This window comes from Homo sapiens, chromosome 14 (assembly GCF_000001405.40).
Source record: "Homo sapiens chromosome 14, GRCh38.p14 Primary Assembly".
Classification (NCBI taxonomy): Eukaryota; Metazoa; Chordata; class Mammalia; order Primates; family Hominidae; genus Homo; species Homo sapiens.
The window spans coordinates 47,752,782-47,773,680 of record NC_000014.9 but is presented as its reverse complement, the minus strand read 5'-3'; the positions used below and the strand labels follow the sequence as shown (position 1 = coordinate 47,773,680).

Below are 20,899 nucleotides of genomic sequence, written 5' to 3'. Positions count from 1 at the left end.
CATCTGCAATGTCTCCTATGTTTTCTTTTAGGAGTTTTATAGCTTTGCATTTACACTTAGGTTTTTGAACCTTTTTGAATCGATTTTTGTGATGGGTATAAGGTTAGCATTTAGATTTAGTGTTTTGCATGTACATATCCAGGTATTCCAGCACCATTTGTTGAAGGGACTATCTTCTCCATAGTATGTTTTTGATCCTTTGTTTAAGATTAGTTGAGTACATTCATGTAGCTTTATTTCTGCATGCTCTCTTCTGTTCCTCTGATCTGTTTATCCTTTTGCAAATATTAGGCTACCTCAATTACTGTAGATTTAAAGTAAGTCTTGATGTCAATACTACCAATCCTCCAATTTTGTTCTAGTCTTTCAATATTGTCGTGGCTATTCTGGTTCTTTTCCTTTTGCATATAAATTTTAGAATCAGTTTGTCAATATCTACAAAATGACTAGTGAGATTTTGATGAGGATTGCATTGAATTTACAGATCAAGTTTGGAAGAACTGACATCTTGGCAATATTGAGTTTTCCTGTCCATGGACGTGGATTGTCACTCTAGTTCTTGGATTCCTTTCATCATAGCTTTGTAGTATTCCTTGTACAGGTCTTGTATATATTTTCTTGGATTTACACCTAAGTTTTTATTTTTGTAGGTTCTAATATAAATGATATTGTGTTTTTAATTTCAAATTCAAATTTTTATTGCTGGTATATAGGAAAGTGATTGACTTTTGTATTTTAACCTTTTGTCCCACAACCTTGCTATAATTGCTTATTAGCTCTAGGAGGGTTTTTTGGTCAATTCTTTAGGCTTTTCTACATAAATGATTACGTCATCTGTGAACAAAGTTTTATTTTTTCCTTTCCAATCTGTATACCTTTTATTTCTTTTTCTGTTTTATGTCATTAACTAGGACTTTGAGTACAATGGTGAAAAGCAGTAGTGACAGGAAATATTCTTGCCTCTTTCTATTTTGGTGGGACAGCTTCCAGGTCCTCATCATTAAAGATGATGTTAAGCTGTAGGCTTTTCGTAGATATTCCATTTCAATTTGAGGAAGATTTCTTCTCTTCCCAGTTTACTGAGAGTTTTTGTCATATGTCAGTGTTGGATTTTCTCAAATACCTTTTCCGCATCTATTGATACAATTTCACGACTTTTTAAGCCTCTTGATGCAATGGATTGCATTAATTGATTTTTGATATTGAACCAGCATTGCATATCTGAGATAAATCCCACTTGGTTCTGATGTATAAATCTTTTTATATATTGTTGGATTAAATTTGCAAATACTTTGTTGAAGTTTTTTTTTTTTTGCATCTGTACTCATAAGAGATATTAATCTGCAGTTTTCTTTTCTTATAAAGTCTGTCTGGTTTTGATATCAGGATGATGTTGGCCTCATAGAAAGAGTTGAGAAGTACTCCTTCTACTTCTATTTTCTGAAATAAATAGTAGAGAATTGGTATAATTTCTTCCTTCAGTCTTTGTTAGAATTCACCAGTGAACATCTTTGGGCCTGATGCTATCTGTTGTGGAAGGTTATTAATTATTGAGTCCATTTCTTTCATGGATATAGGGCTATTTGGATTTTGTATTCCTTTTTGTGTGAGTTTTGGCAGATTTTGTTACTTAAGAAATTGATGCATTTCATCTAGGTTATCAAACTTATGGGCATGCAGTTGTTCATAGTATGCCTTTACTATCTTTTTGTTGTCAATGGAGTTGTAGTGATATTCCCTCTTCCATCTCTGATATTAAAAATTTGTGTCCTTTGTCCTTTTTTTTTAGTTGGCCTGGTAGAGGTTTATCTATTTTATCTATTTTATTTACCTTGCAAAAAATCAGCTTCTGGTTACATTGATTTTATTTATTGATATCTTACTTTCAAATTCATTGATATCTTACTTTCAAATTTATTGATTTTTTGCTCTAGTTTTCATTATTTCTTTTCTTCTGCTTATTTTGAATTAAATTTTATCTTATTTTACTAATTTCCAATGGTAGAAGCTTAAATTATTGATTTTAGATCCTTCTTCTTCTTCTTCTTCCTCTTCCTCTTCTTCTTCTTCTTCTTCTTCCTCTTCCTCTTCCTCTTCTTCTTCCTCTTCCTCTTCCTCTTCCTCTTCCTCTTCCTCTTCCTCTTCCTCTTCTTCTTCTTCTTCTTCTTCTTCTTCTTCTTCTTCTTCTTCTTCTTTCTTTTTTGATGGAGTCTTGCTCTGTCGCCTAGGCTGAAGTGCAGTGGTGCGATCTCGACTCACTGCAATCTCTGCCTCCTGGGTTCAAGCAATTCTCCTGCCTTAGCCTCCTGGGTAGCTGGGATTACAGACACGTGCCACCACGCCCAGCTAGTTTTTGTATTTTTAGTAGAGACAAGGTTTCACGATGTTGACCAGGCTGGTCTGGAACTCCTGACCTCAAGAGATCTGCCTGCCTCGGCCTCCCAAAGTGCTGGCATTACAGGTGTGAGCCACCTCACTTTTCTAAAATATGTATTCAATGCTATAAATTCTAAGACCTGATTTTACTATATCTCACAAATGTTATAGTGTTTTCATTTTCATTTATTCCCTTTTTTTGTTTTTCTTAACTTTTTTTTATTTATATGTTATCTTGAAATGTGTTATTCTGAGATTTTTCCAGTTATCTGTCTGTTATTGTTTTCTAGTTTAATTACATTGTGGCTTGAGAGCAGACAATTCATCATTCTTTTTTAAAATTTTTCTTAAGGTGTGTTTTATGGCCCAGCATGTGTTCTATCTTAGTTAAGGTACCATGTGAGCTTGAGAAGAAATGTATTCTGCTGTTGTTGGATAAAGTAGGTCTATAGATGTCAATTATATTCAGTTGATTGATGATGCTATTGAGTTCAACTGTGTCCTTAAATTTATTTTCTGCTTGTTGGATGTGTCCATTTGTGATAGAAGGATGAGGCCTTCAACTAAAACAGTGGATTCATCAATTGCACCTAGCAGTTCCATCAGTTTTTGCCTTCCATACTTTGATACTTTGTTTTTAGGCACATATACATTACAGGTTGTTATGACTTCTGGAAGAATGAACCCCTTTACCACTATGCAATGCTCCTCCTTTTAAGTTAATATTATTTTTAACAGACAAATCATAATTGTACATTTATAGGGTACAATGTGATGTTTTGATATGTGTGTACCATGTGAAATAATTAAATCAAGCTAATTAATATACACATCACCTACTTTATCCATCATTTTTCTGGTGAGACATTTGAAATATACTCTCTTAGTTATTTCGAAATACAAAATACATTATTGACCATAGTCACACTGCTGTGCAATAAATATCAACACATTCCTCCTAGCTGAAACATTGTACCTTTTGCCTAAAATCTTCCCATTTTCTCTATCCCCGTCACCCACCCAGCCTCTGGTACCTATTATTGTAGTCTCTACTTCCATGATTTCAGCTATTTTAGATTCCAAGTATAAGTGAGATCATGCCATATTTGTCTTTCTGTGTCTGGCTTATTTCATTTATCATAACTTCCTTCAATCTCATCTATGTTGTTTCAGATATTTTTTCTTTTTTATAAGGCTGAATAGTATTCCATTGTGTATATGTACCACACTTTCTTTATCCATTCATCCATTGGTGGACATTGAGGTTGAATCTATGTCTTAGCAAATAATGTTGCAATAAACATGAAAGCGCAGATAACCCTTTGACATACTGACTTCATTTCTTTTGGATATACATTCATAAGTGAGATTGCTGAATCATATGCTAGTTACATTTTTGGGGGTTTTTTTTTCTTTTTTTTTTTGAGACGGAGTCTCACTCTGTCGCCCAGGCTGGAGTGCAGTGGCATGAACTCCGCTCACTGCAAGCTCTGCCTCCTGGGTTCACGCCGTTCTCCTGCCTCAGCCTCCCAAGTAGCTGGGACTACAGGTGCCCATCACCACGCCTGGCTAATTTTTTGTATTTTTAATAGAGAGGGGTTTCACCGTGTTAGCCAGGATGGTCTCAATCTCGTGACCTCGTGATCCGCCCGCCTCGGCCACCCAAAGTGCTGGGATTACAGGTGTGAGCCACCGCGCCCGGCCTAGGTTTTTTTTTTTTTTTTTTAACAGACTAGTCATACTGTTTTCCATAATGGTTGTACTAATTTACTTCTCATACCTCTGTTTGTTCTGAAGTCTGCTCAGTCTAAAATTAATATAGCTATTCCTGCTTTTTTATTAGTGAGATCATAGCATGTCTTTCTCTCTCCCTTTATTTTTAGTCTAATGTCTTCCACTTTTTTACTGACTTCTGTGGTTTTAACTGAACATTTTATATAATTCCATTTCTCTCCTTTCTTAGCATTAGTTTTACTTCTTTTATTCGTGTTTGTTGGAGGTTGCCCTAGAGTTTGAAATATACATTTACAAGTCCACTTTGAAATAACACTATACTACTTCATGGTTAGTGCAAGTACCTTATAATAATAATTTTTAAATATCCCAATTCCTCTCTCTCATCTCTTTTATCATCACTGTCATTCATTTCACTTATATATATGTGCACACATGCACATATACACATACATAATAAAGTACATTATTGTGATTAATATTTTGAACTAATCATTATTTCTTAGATCACTTAAGAATAAGAAAAATAAGTCTTTCTTTTAGCTTCACTTTTTAAAAATGCTCTTCCTTTCTGTTTGTAGATCTGAGTTTCTGACCTATATTTATTTTTTATCCTCCGAATTTGTCCATAGAATTTAATTTTTTTTTTAATTTTGGCAGACTTCACCATACAAGAATTGAGCCTGGTGTTTTCTTTAAATTATTTTATGATTACTTAAAGCCATTCTTTATAAATTTTGGTAAGTTATATTTATCTATGTATTTGTTAATTATTTTTCTCTTTTCAAAATTTTTAGCAAAGTTTTTCACGGTTCTGTTTATTCTAATGTCTGTTTTGGTAAATTCTGTTCTTCAAGAAATATATTCTTATTATATAAGTTGAAAATTTTATTGGGATAATATTGTTTATAATATCCTCTTGTTATATTTTAACATCTTTAGGGTCTATAGTGATATCCTCTTTTATTCTGCATATTTTAAATTTGTGCTTTCTGTGTTTGTTGATCAGTCTTCCTAGGAGTTTATTACTTTGATTCATCATTTCAAAGAATTCGTTGCTTTGTTGATTTTTCACTTTTACATGTTTGTTCTCAAGTTTTTAATGTTGCAAGTTATGCTCCCTGGGAAGCAGACTATAGGTAAAACATAGCACAGTAGGTTGATTGGGTAGTGTTCTTGGAATTAACACCAGGAAGGAAAGGAAAGGAAGCAGAATTGAAAGACAAAGAAGTTTGACTTTGATAGAGACCACCCTGGCCAACATGGCGAAACCCTGTCTCTACTAAAAATACAAAAATTATCTGGGTGTGGTGGTGCACACCTGTAGTCCCAACTACTCAGGAGGCTCAGGCACGAGAATCACTTGAACCCCGGAGGCGAAGGTCGCAGTGAGCCGAGATCATGCCACTGCACTACAGCCTGGGCTACAAGATGAGACTCCGTCTCAAAAAAAAAAAAAAAGTTGGATTTTGATTCATTCACAACAAAAGCTTCTTTTAGAGTTCTGGAACTGGGATAACTTTTTAGCATTTCTCTGATTTATTGCAACCGGACCAGAACTTTTTACTCCTGTATCCACCAGTATTGGATGTGAGATGCTTCAGTAAAAGATGAAAAGATGAAGGACTTCCAGGAAGGCAGTTCTATTAGGCAGCAGCACTCCAACAGTTTATATAATAAGCAGCTTAGGAAATGGGTAGTGAAGCACAGTGTCCACTTCAGTTAATCCATGCTGCTCGAATCCATGTGTACATATATGTTGGGAGCAGCTTCTCCATGATTCTAGTATGTGTGTATTTTTTTCTTTCTCTAGTGGAGACTTATTAAATGAAGAAACCACACAGCTTCCAACTCTGCAGTAGATCTTGGGCTGTAACTGATATTCAACATTACCATCCTTGTTGTAAACTGAATGTCATATCCCTCAAAATTCATATGTTGAACCCCTAACTTCCCCTGTGATGGCATTTAGAGGACGAGCCTTTGGGGCATAGTTAAGTTTAGATAAGATCATAGAGGTGGGGGCCCCATGGTGGAATTGCTCTCCTTATAAGAAGTGAAAGACCAAAGCTCTCACTCTCTCCCCACCATGGGAGGACACAGCAAGAAGGCAGCTATCTGATAACCAGGAAGAGGGCCCTCACTAGGAACTGACTGCCAGCACCTCAACCTTGATCTTTCCATCCTCCAGAACTGTGAGAAATAAAGTTTTGTTGTCTAACCCACCCACAGTATTTTTTACAGAGGCCTGAGCTAAGATACTTCTTAGTTACGCATTTTCACCCTCTTCGCCCTTAAACAGCACCTCTGCTGGTCAGGTGGCCTAACTTTGGAAGACTCAGACCTTCATCTGTGACAGTTCTATAGTCACAGTCGCTATGCCTTCTCAGGTCCTGGCTGCTGTATTATTACATTGATTCTCAAAGTTGTACAAGAGAATATCAAAAGACACCAAAGTGGATTAAGATTAGTTACTGTTAAAAATATTCCTCCTGCTTTACGTTCTACAAGAGCTCTACCTTTTTCCGAAGTTCAGATCAATTATCCCTATCAGGATAGTGACTTCTCTTCAAGTCACTTGGGAAAAGTCCCCTGAAGTACACTGGAAGAAGCCATAACTTAAGTTCATTGAAATTTTTGCAGTGTCCCAGAGTCGATGTATTCTACCTTTGTCGACCAGAACTTCTCCATCATACAGTCCAAACTTGTGGGTCTGGAAAGCACAAACTCTGTAAATGAGAAACTGGTGATGATGTTAAGTAAGTTATTTATATTTTAAGTCCCTGATTTTAGACTCATGTATTTTACCTACTCGGAAAAAATCATATTATGGTTGTTGATTTAGAATACACATCCTAAAAAGTGACATCCCATCTTTGTATGGTCTCATGTCTGAGCTAGGCATCCCACTGAAATCTTTAACTTAACATGCCATTGTTCCACTACGCACCACCCAGCAGCTAATTGGTCTCCACGCAGAATGGTGCTATTAGGGGGACTCAGTGATTGTCTTGTATGTATGGACATCATGCAGTAACAGGAGATAAATTTGTGTTGGAGACAGGGAACCCATGCTACTGAATTTATGCATAGTCTTCCTTACATCACCATGGTTACCATGTCTACATGCACCTCATGCTCACACTTGGGTTGCGTGATGGTTAATATTGAGTGTCAACTTGATTGGATTGAAGGATGCAAAGCATCGTTCCTAGGTGTGTCTGTGAGGGTATTGCCAAAGGAGATTAACATTTGAGTCCGTGGACTGAGAAAGCCAGATCCACAATCAATCCGGGTGGGGACAATCTAATCAGCTGCCAGCATGGCCAGAATAAAAGCAGACAGAAACACGTGGAAAGACCAGACTGGCTAAGCCTTCTGGCCTCCATCTTTCTTCCATGCTGGATGCTTTCTGCCCTTGAACATCAGACTCCAAGTTCTTCAGCTTTTGGATTCTTGGACTCACACCAGTGATTTGCCAGGGGCTCTTGGGCCTTCCACCACAGACTGAAGGCTGCACTATCAGCTTCCCTACTTTTGAGGTTTTGGGACTCGGACTGGCTTCCTGGCTCCTCAGCTTGAAGACAACCAATGGTGGGACTTCACCTTGTGATCCTGTGAGTCATTTCTCCTAATAAATTCCCCTTCATATAGACACTATCCTATTAGTTCTGTCCATCTAGAGAACCCCGACAAACATGGGTTGCTATCAACTGGACAAATCATTGCCAACTAAGTTTTTTAGTGCTTCAGCACTTCTACCATAGTTAGTGTGCACTAATGAATGCAAACATTTGTATTACCTAATACATGGTCTGGTACAGCATCCTCAGATGTGAACTATGCTGCCTCCTGTATCCAAAAAGGACTACCAAATGTTGTACTTCCATCTTATTGCAGTGCAGTAAGAAATATTTTGTCCTTTATTTTGTAGATGTCCCATCATGCCCTCAACCACAAAACACCTAAATTTTACGGTTATAATCGCTGTCAGTGGTTGTACGTTGATATTCTATTGTTCCAGCACCATTCTTTTCCTATTAAATTACACTGGCAAATTTGATTAAAAAAAACAACTGACTATATATGCTTGTAAACATTTCCAGATTATGTTATTCTTTTAATCTAAATATGTGTCCTTATGCCAATACCCCACTCCATCTATTACTGCAGTGTATGATAAGTCTTGAAATCTAGTAGTGTAAGTTCTTCAACGTTGCCCTTAATTTTTAAAATCACTCTTGCTATTTAAAATTGTTTGTATTACATGGAAATTTTATAATCAGCTTGCCAATTTCTACAAAAGTCCTGCTGAGATTTTAATTGGTATTTTGCTTGTTCTGCAGCTTAATGCAAGAAAATTATCTTAACAATATTGAATTTTTCAATCTATTAACATGTTATATATTACTGTTTACTTAGGATTTTTTCACTTTTCCTGCCTTGTTTTGAACTGATATTGTGGTTTTAAGTAATTTTTTTTATTTCTACTATTGGCTTAGTAACTATGCCCCACTTTTTGATTTTGTAGCACAGTTGACCATTGAACAACACAAGTTTGAATTGTGCATGTCCAATTGTCTATGGATATTTTTCAATAAAAGTTACACTGAGTGCATCAGCCTCTCTCCTTCTTCTCCTTCTACCTCCTCCAACTGTTCCACCTCTGCCACCCCAAAACAGCAAGAACAACCCCTCCCTTCCTCCTCCTCCTCCTCAGCCTACTCAAGGTGAAGCTGATAAGGTAAGGATGAAGGCTTTTATGATGGACCACTTCTGCTTAATAAATTGTAAACGTATTTGCTCTTCCTTAGGATTTTCCTAATAACATATTCTTTTCTTTAGCTTAATTTATGTTAATAACACAGAATATAATACATGTAACATACAAAATATGCGTCAATTGTTTATGTTTTTGATAAGGCTTCTGGTCTAAAGAAGGCTAATAGCAGTTAAGTTTTTTGGGAGTCAAAAGTTATACGTGGATTTTTCGACTGCATGGGGGTCAAGTTGTTCAAGGGTGAATTGTAGTTCTTCTCATGTTTACAAACTTACCATATTATGTATTTGAATAATAGCACACTAATATCATATATTTACTTACAACATAAGAATCTTACAATTTTATGCTTCTACTTCCTACCTCTCATCCTTTTTTTTTTTTTTTTTTTTTTTTCCTGCCAGCTCCACCTCCCGGGTTCATGCCATTCTCCTGCCTCAGACTCCCGGGTATCTGGGACTACAGGCGCCCACCACCACGCCCAGCTAGTTTTTTGTATTTTTAGTAGAGATGGGGTTTCACCATGCTAGCCAGGATGGTCTTGATCTCCTGACCTCGTGATCCACCCGCCTGGGCCTCCCAAAGTGCTGGGATTACAGGCGTGAGCCACCGCGCCCGGCCTCCTCATCCTTTTATTGTTACAATTGTTATTGTTGACATTCCCTTTATTTCCACTTGTTATAATCTGTTTGCTTTTAACAATTTCTAAATATTTTTAAATGAGGAGAAACAATGCATTTACCCACATAAATATAAACCATATACTTTCATTGTTTTCTGGATTGTAATATTTCAGATGAGAAATGTGCCAATATTCTTATTTTGGTTCCTGAGTAAGTAATGTGTAATTTTTCTTTAGCTATTTTTAAGGTGTTCTCTTTTATCACTGATTTTTTCAACAATTTGGTTATAATGTGCCTCACTGTGATTATCTTTTTCTTTATATGAGGGCAAAGGTGTGTTAAGTTTTGAAAACTTAGTTGTCTATAGTTTAATTCAAAATGGGACAAATTTGTGGTAATTATTTTTGCAAATATTTTTACATCTTCGTTTTTATATCATCAATCACGTAATGTCTGTGCCACTTGAAATTGCTTCACACATCACTGAGACTGTTCAGTGGCTTTTTATTATTTTTCTTTGTGTTTCAGTTTGGATAGTTTCATATCATATGTGTGAGTTCATTGACATTTTCTTCTTCAGTGTCTGGCTACTATTAAAAATCAGGACTTTTTTATTTTATGTATTTTACTTCTTAATTCTAAATTTTGCATTTGCTTCATTTTTATACCTTCCATATCTATTTTTATTCATGTTTCTTTTAAAATTTTTGAACACATTTAAAACAGCTTTTGTGAAGCCCTACTCATATAAATCCACCAATTCTTTCAGTTTCTGTTTCTCTTCACTGATTCTTCTCATGGTCATGGCTCACATTTTCCTGCTTCTTCTCATATACAGTAATTTTAAATTTGGCCCCAAACTATGAGAGCTATATTGTTGAGTGTTTGGATTTTGTTGCCATCCTTTTACAAATGTCAATTTCATTTGGCTAAGTAAGTATGTAATTGTGGATCAGTGTGATTCTTTAGAGGTTTGCTTTTAAGCTTTTTAGGCTGGACTTAGAGAATTCTTTACCTCGGGACTACTTTAGCACTTATACTAAGGCCTGAACCTTCTCATGTTTCCACTGAATGTTGTAGATGTTCAATCTATTCTGGTTGGTTCAGAAGTAAACATTTCCCCGCCCTACCTGAGCTCTGGGAGTCCTTCAGCTTAAAGCTCCCAGCCCTTTGACTTTTCCCATGCATGTACAACTTAGTACCTAGAACATTCTCAAGGAGACCCCTGTGCATATTCCTGGAGCTCCTCCTTCACCTACTTTCCTTCTCACTGGTAATGTGTCCTACACATTCAATATTCCAGGTAAGTCAGTCTTCCCTAACTCTGATCTCTGTTTACTCAACTCAGTGAGATCATGCTAGTGACCCCCTCTGCACCACAGGTTGGAAAGTAGTTCCAGGCAGTTAATAGAGCTCACTTTGTTTCCACTTCCCTTGGACCATAATCCTAAATTGCCTAATCTCCTATATCTGAAAGAATTTGACTCATACATTTTCCAAGTTTTCCAGATATTTATAATGTTAGGAAAGCTCCTGTCTCTGTTAATCAGCATGGCCAGAAGTAAAATTCTGTGTCTGTTCATTCTTGACATTTTCGTGTTTACTGATTTTGTAATTTCACCTATTATTTATTTAAACATTTCATATATAGCATTTTACATTCAATTTCTGATAATTTCTATATCTGAAGCCATTGGGAGTCTTAATTAGATGTTTGCTATTTGTTGTTTCTGCTGTCTCACTCACCATGGCTTGATTTCTTTAATCTTAATCTTTAGGTATCCTAGGGTCAACTTTTTCTCCAGGGTAGAATTTGAAATTATCTCTGCTAGGAGTTTGATGTAGTAAGACCTGGGACCAGGCTTGCTGACATAATGCCAGGTTTCCAGGATCAGCTCCCTCAAGCTTAGTCTCTGGAACACAATGCTAATTTCAACACTTGTCTCAGGCTAGCTCCAACTTTCCCATTTGTGTCTTGCAGGTAGCGCACTGTTCTTTGATTCTATCTCAGGATTCAGGTCATTTTTTGCATGTTTATTAGGTTGTTTATTTAAGGGGTGCTTGGAGATTTACTTATTTCCCTGCAACCACAGCAGTGCATTGAAATGTAGATTTTATAAAGAAGCTAGTAGTTTTCCTCATAAGTTATTTATGTTGATTCTGAAGATCTTTATGTCTTGGGTGTTTGGTTTTGGTTTTAGCACTGTGTGTGTGTGTGTGTGTGTGTGTGTGTGTATGTGTGTGTGTGTGTCTGTGCGTGTGTGTGTAATTTCATCTTATTTTGCAGCAGATCCAGTGTGCTTCTCAAATATTAGGTTCATGCTATTGATTTTGAAAAAATCATCATTACCATCTCATTCCCTCTTATTCTTTCATTGAATCTATCCCATTTTAATCTATTATCTTATTTATCTCTTAAACTTGCTTTTAGTAACTGTAAAATCCTCAGCTCTTTCTCTCTGTTAATTGCCTGTTGAGAATTATCTGCTTTTTAATCATCGTGTCGGAGTCTATTATTTGCTTTCTCAATATCCATATATTTCGTGTAGTAATGCTATTTTTAGCTGAATATGTGTCCATTTACCTAAATATAACATTTTTCAGCACTTTTTGCAGCTACTTTGGGTCAGTTAAATGGTATATACGTGAAATTGATGTACAACATTTGGATCACAGTTTTAAAAGGAAAAGAGTAGGTCTTCCCATTCTTCTTTCCCACTACAATGGAATGTATGTTTGTGGCCCCCTAAATTCATATGTTGAAACCGTAATCCCTCATCTCAATGTGATAGTGTTTGGAGGTGGTACCTTTCAGAGTCGATGAAGTAATACTGTTAGTGCTCTCATGGATGGGATTAGTGCTCTTATGAGAAGAGGCCATAGAGTAGCTAGCTCTCTTCCCTTCATATGAAAATAAGATCTTGGTAGTCTATAAACCAAGAAGTGAGCCTCAACAGACACATAATCTGCCAGCACCTTTATCTTGAACTTCCTAGCCTCCAGCACTATGAGAAACAACTGTTTGTTGTTTAAGCCACCAGCCTATAGTAGTTTGTGACAGCAGCCTAAACTATTAGGTTGGTGCAAAAGTAATCACTGTTTTTGCCATTACTCTCAGTGGCAAAAACCGTGATTACTTTTGCACCAACCTAGTAACACCTTCACTGTGGGGGTGCAGACATGGCAGATGTGGAGCATCCAAGCTGGACTCTGATTAAAAAGCTAATTGAGGAAGTTACAATAAAGGATCTGGTTTGTTGACAATGTGGAAATGTCTTATCTATCATCGAAGTCCTGAAATGCTTACAATTTATGAAAGAGAAATAGGCCGGGCGTGGTGGCTCACGCCTGTAATCCCAGCACTTTGGGAGGCAGAGGCAGGCGGATCATGAGGTCAGGAGGTCGAGACCATCCTGGCTAACACGGTGAAACCCCGTCTCTAACAAAAGTACAAAAAATTAGCTGGGCGTGGTGTCGGGCACCTGTAGTCCCAGCTACTCCGGAGGCTGAGGCAGGAGAATGGCGTGAACCCGGAAGGCGGAGCTTGCAGTGAGCCAAGATGCATCACTGCACTCCAGCCTGGGCGACGAGCGAGACTCTGTCTCAAAAAAAAAAAAAAAAAAGAAAGAGAAATAAACATCTATCTTATCTGAACTACTGTTTATGTGGAATTTTGTCAAAGCCACCCATATCCTGTTCAGGATTTATATATATTATATATATATAAATCTATATATTAGAAGGTTTTTCTTATTTAATATATTTTTCATTTTATAACTTCTATTTGGCCTCTTTTCAAATATATCTGCTTTTTATGTCACCTTATCTCTTATAGTAATTGATTTCCTCTTTCCTGCTTCATTCAATTTAAAGCTACTTATTTTATAGTCTCTATGTCAGAGTCTGATCTGAGAAGCAGTACCACCAGATTTGTGTATAATAAGGGATTTGTAATAGGGATTTGCCTTATATATTTGTGGAAACTGTTGAAAAGTCTTTGTGAAACTATTGTTTCTGTGTCTAGTGCTGAGCCTAAAGTCATCAGCGCACACAGTCTGAAAGATAAAATGGACGTAAAATGAGGGAAGCGAGACAAACTGGTACCTGCAAGAATAAACCCGAATCTATCAGGACAGAGTTGCAACCCTGCTTCCATGTGTCCAACTTTAAAGTTGGGGTAATCTGCAGGAGGAGCTGCTATGAGCTAAACCATACCTCACTGAAAGTCAGAGTGATTGAAAGTGGGTGTCTGGCAGCTGTGGCATTTCTGAGGGCCCAGCTACTGCCCTACTCCAACAATGTGATCCCACAGATAAATGACACCTGTGTGAGCTACAACAGTGCCATGTGCCCAGTGCTGACTTTCTGAAAATAAAAAGAATATAGATGCTGTTTCATTTCATCCTTCCAACTCTCATACAAAATATCTCTCATGGCCCTCACTAACAAAGATGATATGGTTTGGCTGTGTCCCCACCCAAATCTTATCTTGAATTCCCGAGTGTTACGTGAGGGACCTGGTGGAAAGTAACTGGATCACGGGGGCAGGTCTTTCCCATGGTGTTGGGTGGGTCTCATGAGATCTGATGGTATTACAAGGGGGAGTTTCCCTGCACAAGTGCTCTCTTTCTTTGCCTGCAGCCATCCATGTAAGACATGACTTGCTCCTTCTGCCGTGATTGTGAGGCTTCCCCAGCCACATGGAACTGTAGGTCCATGTTAAACTTCTTTCTTTTGTAAATTGCCTAGTCTCAGGTATGTCTTTATCGTCAGTGTGAAAATGGACTAATACCAAAGAACTATGCTTGGAGGGGAATTCTGGGGAATGCAATTCCAGTTTAGTTCATTTGGCATGATACAAATCCACCATAGTCTCTGTAGTAACCAACATTCAATATTTTCCTAGTAAACATTGGCTCCTGGTATTCACACTCCTATCTAATTCCATCCCACAATTAATAGGACTTACATATATGACAGATAGAATATTGTTGAAGTGAAAGTGTGTGATGTAAGAATTAGGTCATTAAAAAGTTTACAGCCTCCTCTCTGGTCTTCCATTTTTCTCATTTTGGGAGGAGTTAGCTACCGTGTTCTGAGGACACTCAAGTAGCCATGTAGAGAAGATCATATGGAGAAAAAACTCAGGCTGACTGCCAACAGTAAGCACCGATTCTCCAGCCATGTGAAATAACATTAGAAGCAGCTTCTTCATCCCCAATCAATTCTTTAGATAATTCAAACCAGTCAGCCCTCAAGTCTTCCAGCTGATACGTCAAATAATGTGGAAGTGGAAAGAAATCACCCATCTGCACTGAGTGTGTGACCCTTAAAAACTGAGAGATAATATGATTAGTGTTGTTTAAGCCACTAAGCAACAGTTAAATAACACAATCTTTAGTGCTAGATACTGCTTTGAATGGATTATTTCTTCTCCTGGTTTGCCATTTTGTATTTTGAACTCATTTTGGAAGAGTTTTATTTGGAATGACACTAGATGGTTTGGTTTTAGAGTGTTTACCATCAGAGTGTCTTGCATTTGTTTCTGTCAGATGCATGAGGGGATCCACTGATCTAAGTATAATTTGACACCAATATTTTAGCTTGAGGATGCCCACATCTTATAGACAATTGAAAAAAAAATGAAGCCCAGATTCACATGACATGAAATGCATTGTCTTAATTTGTATTTTCCTGAAAGCATTGCTTGATACAATGACTTATGTATAGGTGGCATATTTGGGAGGGGGGTCTCAGTAATTCAGAATGAGGCAGGGAAGAACATGATACCAATAAAGAGTATGCTACTGAGCTGTCATCATCGCTGGAGGGAGATGGGGCTCAATCCTTCTGGGGTGTTCTCAGAAACAATATCAAGTATCCCTCAGAATCTTCCTTTGGAAAGGAGTTGAGAAATGTTTTTCCTAACTCCCATCCTCCATTGATTGAGGATTGTCCAAGATGTGTTATGGGCTTTAGAGAAAAGCTGGGGGGTGGGACAGTTACATGAGTTGAGGACTCCACTAAAGGCATAGAAAGTCTCTACTACAGCTGTAGCAGGAATTGAAGATGGACACAGAGCATGTGATATAGAACCTCAATATCATCTGATTACAAATTCTAAGGAGGATGTTTTTTACTCTTTACCCAGAGACCGAGTCACAATAAACAAGCTTACATGTATATATATATATATATATACACATCACAATATTATTGTGCCACTGCACTTCAGCCTGGGTGACAAGGTCGCTCTGTCACCCAGGCTGGAGTGCAGTGGCATAATAGTGCCTCCACACCCTCACATCTCCCTCACACACCCTCAACTTCCAAGGCCGAAGCCATTCTCCCACCTTAGCCTTTTGGGTAGCTGAGACCACAGGCATGCATCACCATGCCTAGCTCATTATTGTATTTTTTGTAAGGACAAGGTATCTACATGTTGCCCAGGTTGGTCTCAAATTTCTGGCCTCAAGTGATCCCCCTGCCTCAGTCTTCCAAAGTGTTGGGATTACAGGTGTGAGCCACCACGACTGGCTTAAGTTGTCTTACTGTGCCAGCAGGAAAATTATGTTTTCTTATTCTGTCATTCCAGTGAAGGTCTAGCACTTTTGCAGATCTAGCACTTTCTGCTTTACCTGAAAAACTCAGTTCCAATTCACTATCAGCACTCTCTACTTCATCTTCTATTCTAATGTGAACATTGGAACCAAGCTACTAAAATTTCTTTCTTCCCTGAGAGTAAAGCTGCAGCATCACCTCCTAAATTTATCGCTCTAATTTTCCATCTCATCATCAATCTGAAACATAAATATTTTATTTACTTTATTGAGAGTTTAGCTGTCCATTTGTAATATTTGTTTTTCAATGTTTTATCCATAATTTTAGGTGCTTTACAATAGAAAGATATTCAGGGTATCTAGTCAAACACATTAACAAAATGGAAATCCCTGGCCTTCTTGCTTGATTGCAGTGTGGAAATTCTCTGAGGAAAGAGATGCTAGCCTTTCTGTCATTAAATTCTAATCATTCTCCAGTGAATTCTCCAGAAGGGATTTTGGATACAGTGATCCTTGATAGGATCACTAAAATATGATTTGGGAACTAATGAGATTTGGGTGGGTAGTTGGGAGGGGAAATGCTATTGGAATGCAAGACAAGACTGTGAGCTTTGGCTGCAAAAGTAATTCCCCAATGTTTAGCCTAAGATTGAAACCATTCTTAGTTTCAAGCTAAATTAAGTAAAGCATTGCAGAAATCATCTAAATAATTCATGCCAAAACAAGACATAACTATGTTTTGCCAATATTTTGTAGCTGTTTCAGATTGTTATTTATTTTTAGGGAGTAACGAATGGCAAGGGGTAAAATTGTGATATCAGTCAGAATTTCTATAATTATAGTCTGAACATATTATTATATTTTATATGCTTCTATCAGGATATAAACTAAAGAAACATTTACTCTTCTCCACTTCATTTTACACTTGCCTGGGCTCTTTGGCAAGTGCCCATATTCCCCTTTTCCTTCTGTAGTTAAGGAAACAAGTCTTTTTACTATCTTTGAGAAGTAAACTGATCTAAATTGTTAATCACAGTCGAGTCTCTCCTTTGAAGAAATGTATATGGTATACGTATTTCCTTGATCTTATAAATTGATGTAAATCCACTTATCAGAATTTTTCTACTTCTTACTGCTTCTTAGGAAGTCCTACTGTTCAGAAACATCCAGTGGTTCCCAAGACTGGCCATGCATTACATATCAACACACGAAAGCTTTTAAGAAATAAAGATTGTTCACTCCTGATAGGATTTAGGATTTACAAAGGTGTGGATCAAGTACTGATAATATTAACAAACTTCTCCAAGTAATACATATAAATTTTGCTTAGCCCAGATTCTCAGACTCCAGTGAGAATCACTGAATTAGAATATGTCAATTATTTTCCTCCAGGATTTAGACAAGATCTTCTAGCAACTAATGTACCCTTGAATGAACAAGGAAACTATGGCTTAGAGAAAAGGAATGAAAATTACTATTGTCAAAATGGGATCTGATTACTAATGAAAAGTAAATTGTTTAGAAGAAAACAGTAATGGGCATTTTTAGACAGAGGAGTTAATTTGCTGTTTTATTTATCTCTACCTCAGTAAGACTGAAAGAAATTTATTTTAAATTAGACAAGAACATAAGGAAATACTCCTTCAGAGTAAAGCTACAGGATAATGTCCAGTTATTTTTATAAGATCAAACTGGTTTTATATGTGAGCCCAACATATGAATGTAATTTTTTAGAATTAAAAGGTTTAATATTTTTATTTTCATTGTTAACTGAGGTATAATTGATGTATATCAATTATACGTACTTAAAGTTAAAACTTGAGAAGTTTTGACAGATCTGTACACCTGAAGAACCATCATTACAATTAGTGTAGTGAACATATTCATCACCCCCCACCAGAAGATTCTTCCTGCTTTTGTGCAATCCCTCCCTCCTTCTGTGTAATTCCACCCTCCATCTATGTATATCTCCCTCCAACTTCATCGCAGCCCTCCACAGGGAATCACTCTGATCTGCTTGCTGTCTCTATTAATTGATTTACATTTTCTCAAATTTTAGATAAATGGAATCATGTAATATATAAAGATTATTGTCTGGCTTCTTTAATTTAGTATGGTTATTTTTAGATTTATCTACATTGTTGTTTGTGTAAGTGGTTCATTTTGTTATTGCTGAATAAGATTCCACTGTATGGACATACTACTATTTGTTTATCAATTCACCTGCTAATAGAGAATTGGATCATTTACAGTTTTGGGCTATTACAATAAAGCCGTTATGAACATTTATGTGTAAATCTTTGTATGACTATAGGCTATATATTCACTTGCGTAAATACCTACAAATCAATAGCTGGATCAAATGGTAGGTATTTCTTTTTTTTTTCCATATATTTTTAAAAGCTGCCAAACTGTTTTTTTTTTTTAAATGATTGCACCATTTTCTAATCTTATCAGCAATGAATGAGAATTTCAGATCCTCCACATTCTTACAAACAATTTGTATGGACAGTCTTTAATTTTAGCCATCTAATAAGTATGTAGTAATCTCTTATTGTGGTTCCAGTTTGTATTCCTGTAATGACTAATGATACTGATTATTTTTGCATGCTTATATTTTATTCATATATCTTCTTTAGTAAAGTATCTGTTCAAATTCTTTTTAATTTTTTTTTGGTTGTTTTCTTATTGAGTTTAGGGATTATTTATATTTTCTCTGTATCTTCTAATAAGTCATTTACAATTTTTTTTCCTACAAGTTTGTAGTATTGGGAACAGGCCCCCCAAAATCTGGCCATAAACTGGCCCCAAAACTGGCCATAAACAAAATCTCTGCAGCACTGTGACATGTTCGTGATGGCCATAACGCCCACGCTGGAAGGTTGTGTGTTTACCTGAATGAGGGCAAGGAACACCTGGCCCACCCAGGGTGGAAAACCGCTTAAAGGCATTCTTAAACCACAAACAATAGCATGAACGATCTGTGCCTTAAGGACATGATCCTCCTGCAGATAACTAGCCCAACCCATCCCTTTACTTTGGCCCATCCCTTCATTTCCCATAAGGGATACTTTTAGTTAATCTAATATCTATAGAAACAATGCTAATGACTGGCTTGCTGTTAATAAATACGTGGATAAATCTCTGTTCGGGGCTCTCATGTGAGACCCCTGATTTCCCACTTCACACTTCTATATTTCTGTGTGTGTGTCTTTAATTCCTCTAGCGCCGCTGGGTTAGGGTGTCCCAACCCAGCTGGTCTCGGCATTGCAGTTTTTCTTTTTATTGTCCTAACAGTGTCCTTTGAAGCACTAAATATTTTAATGTTGATAAATTCAAGTTTATCAATTTTTTATTTCATTATTTTTGCAACATATAAGGCCCGAAGTCACTGATATGATTTGGCTCTGTTTCCCCACCCAAATTTCACGTCTAATTTTAATTCCCAGTGTTGACAGAGGGAGCTGTTGGGAGGTGATTGAATCATGGGGGTGGACTTCCCCCTTGCTGTTCTTCTGATAGAATTTCCACAAGATCTCATCAGTTGAAAGTGTGTAGCACTTCCCCCGTTCTCTCGCCCTCTCTCTCCTGCTGCCATGTGAAGAAGGTGCTTGCTTCCTCCTCACCTTCCGCCATGGTTGTAAGATTCCTGTGGCCTCCCAGACATGCTTCCTATTAAGCCTGCAGAACTGTGAGTTAATTAAGCCTCTTTTCTTCATAAATTACCAAGTCTCAAGTAGTTCCTTATAGCAGTGTGAGAATGAACTAACACAGTCACAAAGATTTTTTTGTTTTCTTTTAGTTATTTTATTTTATTATTTTATTTATTACTATTATTTTTTTGAGATGGAGTCTTGCTCTGTTGCCCAGGCTGGAGTGCAGTGACACAATCTCAGCTCACTGCAACTTCCACCTCCCAAGTGGAACATGATTCCACTTGAATCATGTTCAAGTGATTCTCCTGCCTCAGCCTCTTGAGTAGCTTAGACTGCAGGTGCCTGCCACCACGTCCAGCTAATTTTTGTAGTTTTAGTAGAGACAGGGTTTCACCATGTTGGCCAGGCTGGTCTTGAACTTGATCTCAGGTGTTTCCCCAGCCTTGGCTGCCCAAAGTGCTGGTATTACAGGCATGAGCCACAGATCTGGCCTTTTTTAGATATCTTATAGTTCTATATTTTACACTTAATTATAAGATCCAATTTGTGTTAAAATTTTTGTATTCGTGTAGACATGAGTTCATTTTATAAGGAAATAGGGATGATATTGAGTTTTAAAAAAATTTGTTGTCCATTTCTGAACTCATGTTCTGACCCATTAAACTGTTTGTCAATCTTTATGCAAGTATCATACTGAATCCTATTAAATACTTCAGCTTTATATTTTGAAATCAAGTAATGTTAGTATTCCTACTTTGTTTCCCTTCAAAGTTATTTTGACCATTCTTGTTTTTTTTGCATTTCCATATGCATTTTTACAATAAGCTTGCTAACTTCTACAAAAATAAAACTGATAGAATTTTTATTGGAATTATGTGGAATCTACAGATCTATTTTGGGATAGGTGTTATCCTAACAATACTAAATATTTTTACCTATGAGCAAAATATGTCCCACCATTTACTTATGTTTTCTTTAATTTCTCTCAGCAATGTTGTGTTTTTATTCAGTGTTCAAGCATTGCATATTTTAGGTCAGATTTATTTAAGTATTTAATAGTTTGTGATGCCATTGTAAATTACATTTTTTAATTTTTATTTTTCTATTTTTATTGCCAGCAGATAGTAATATAATTGATATGTTTCAAATCAATATTTCACACTGAAGACT

At 36.8% G+C, this 20,899-nt stretch overlaps 1 long non-coding RNA gene and 1 other non-coding gene across 2 annotated transcripts in view; both read left to right on the top strand.

The window, feature by feature from the left end:
- The window catches only part of LINC00648 (long intergenic non-protein coding RNA 648), a 30,062-nt gene extending 21,334 nt beyond the window's left edge, over nt 1-8,728 (top strand). The window contains exon 3 of the long non-coding RNA NR_039996.1: nt 5,924-8,728. This is a non-coding gene — a long non-coding RNA (long intergenic non-protein coding RNA 648). The remainder of the gene's footprint in view (nt 1-5,923) is intronic.
- A 3,848-nt stretch (nt 8,729-12,576) lies between these two features.
- Nucleotides 12,577-12,686, top strand: MIR548Y (microRNA 548y). The gene has a single exon (NR_037503.1). It is a non-coding gene; the product is annotated as a microRNA 548y (primary transcript).
- The last annotated feature ends 8,213 nt before the right edge of the window (nt 12,687-20,899 follow it).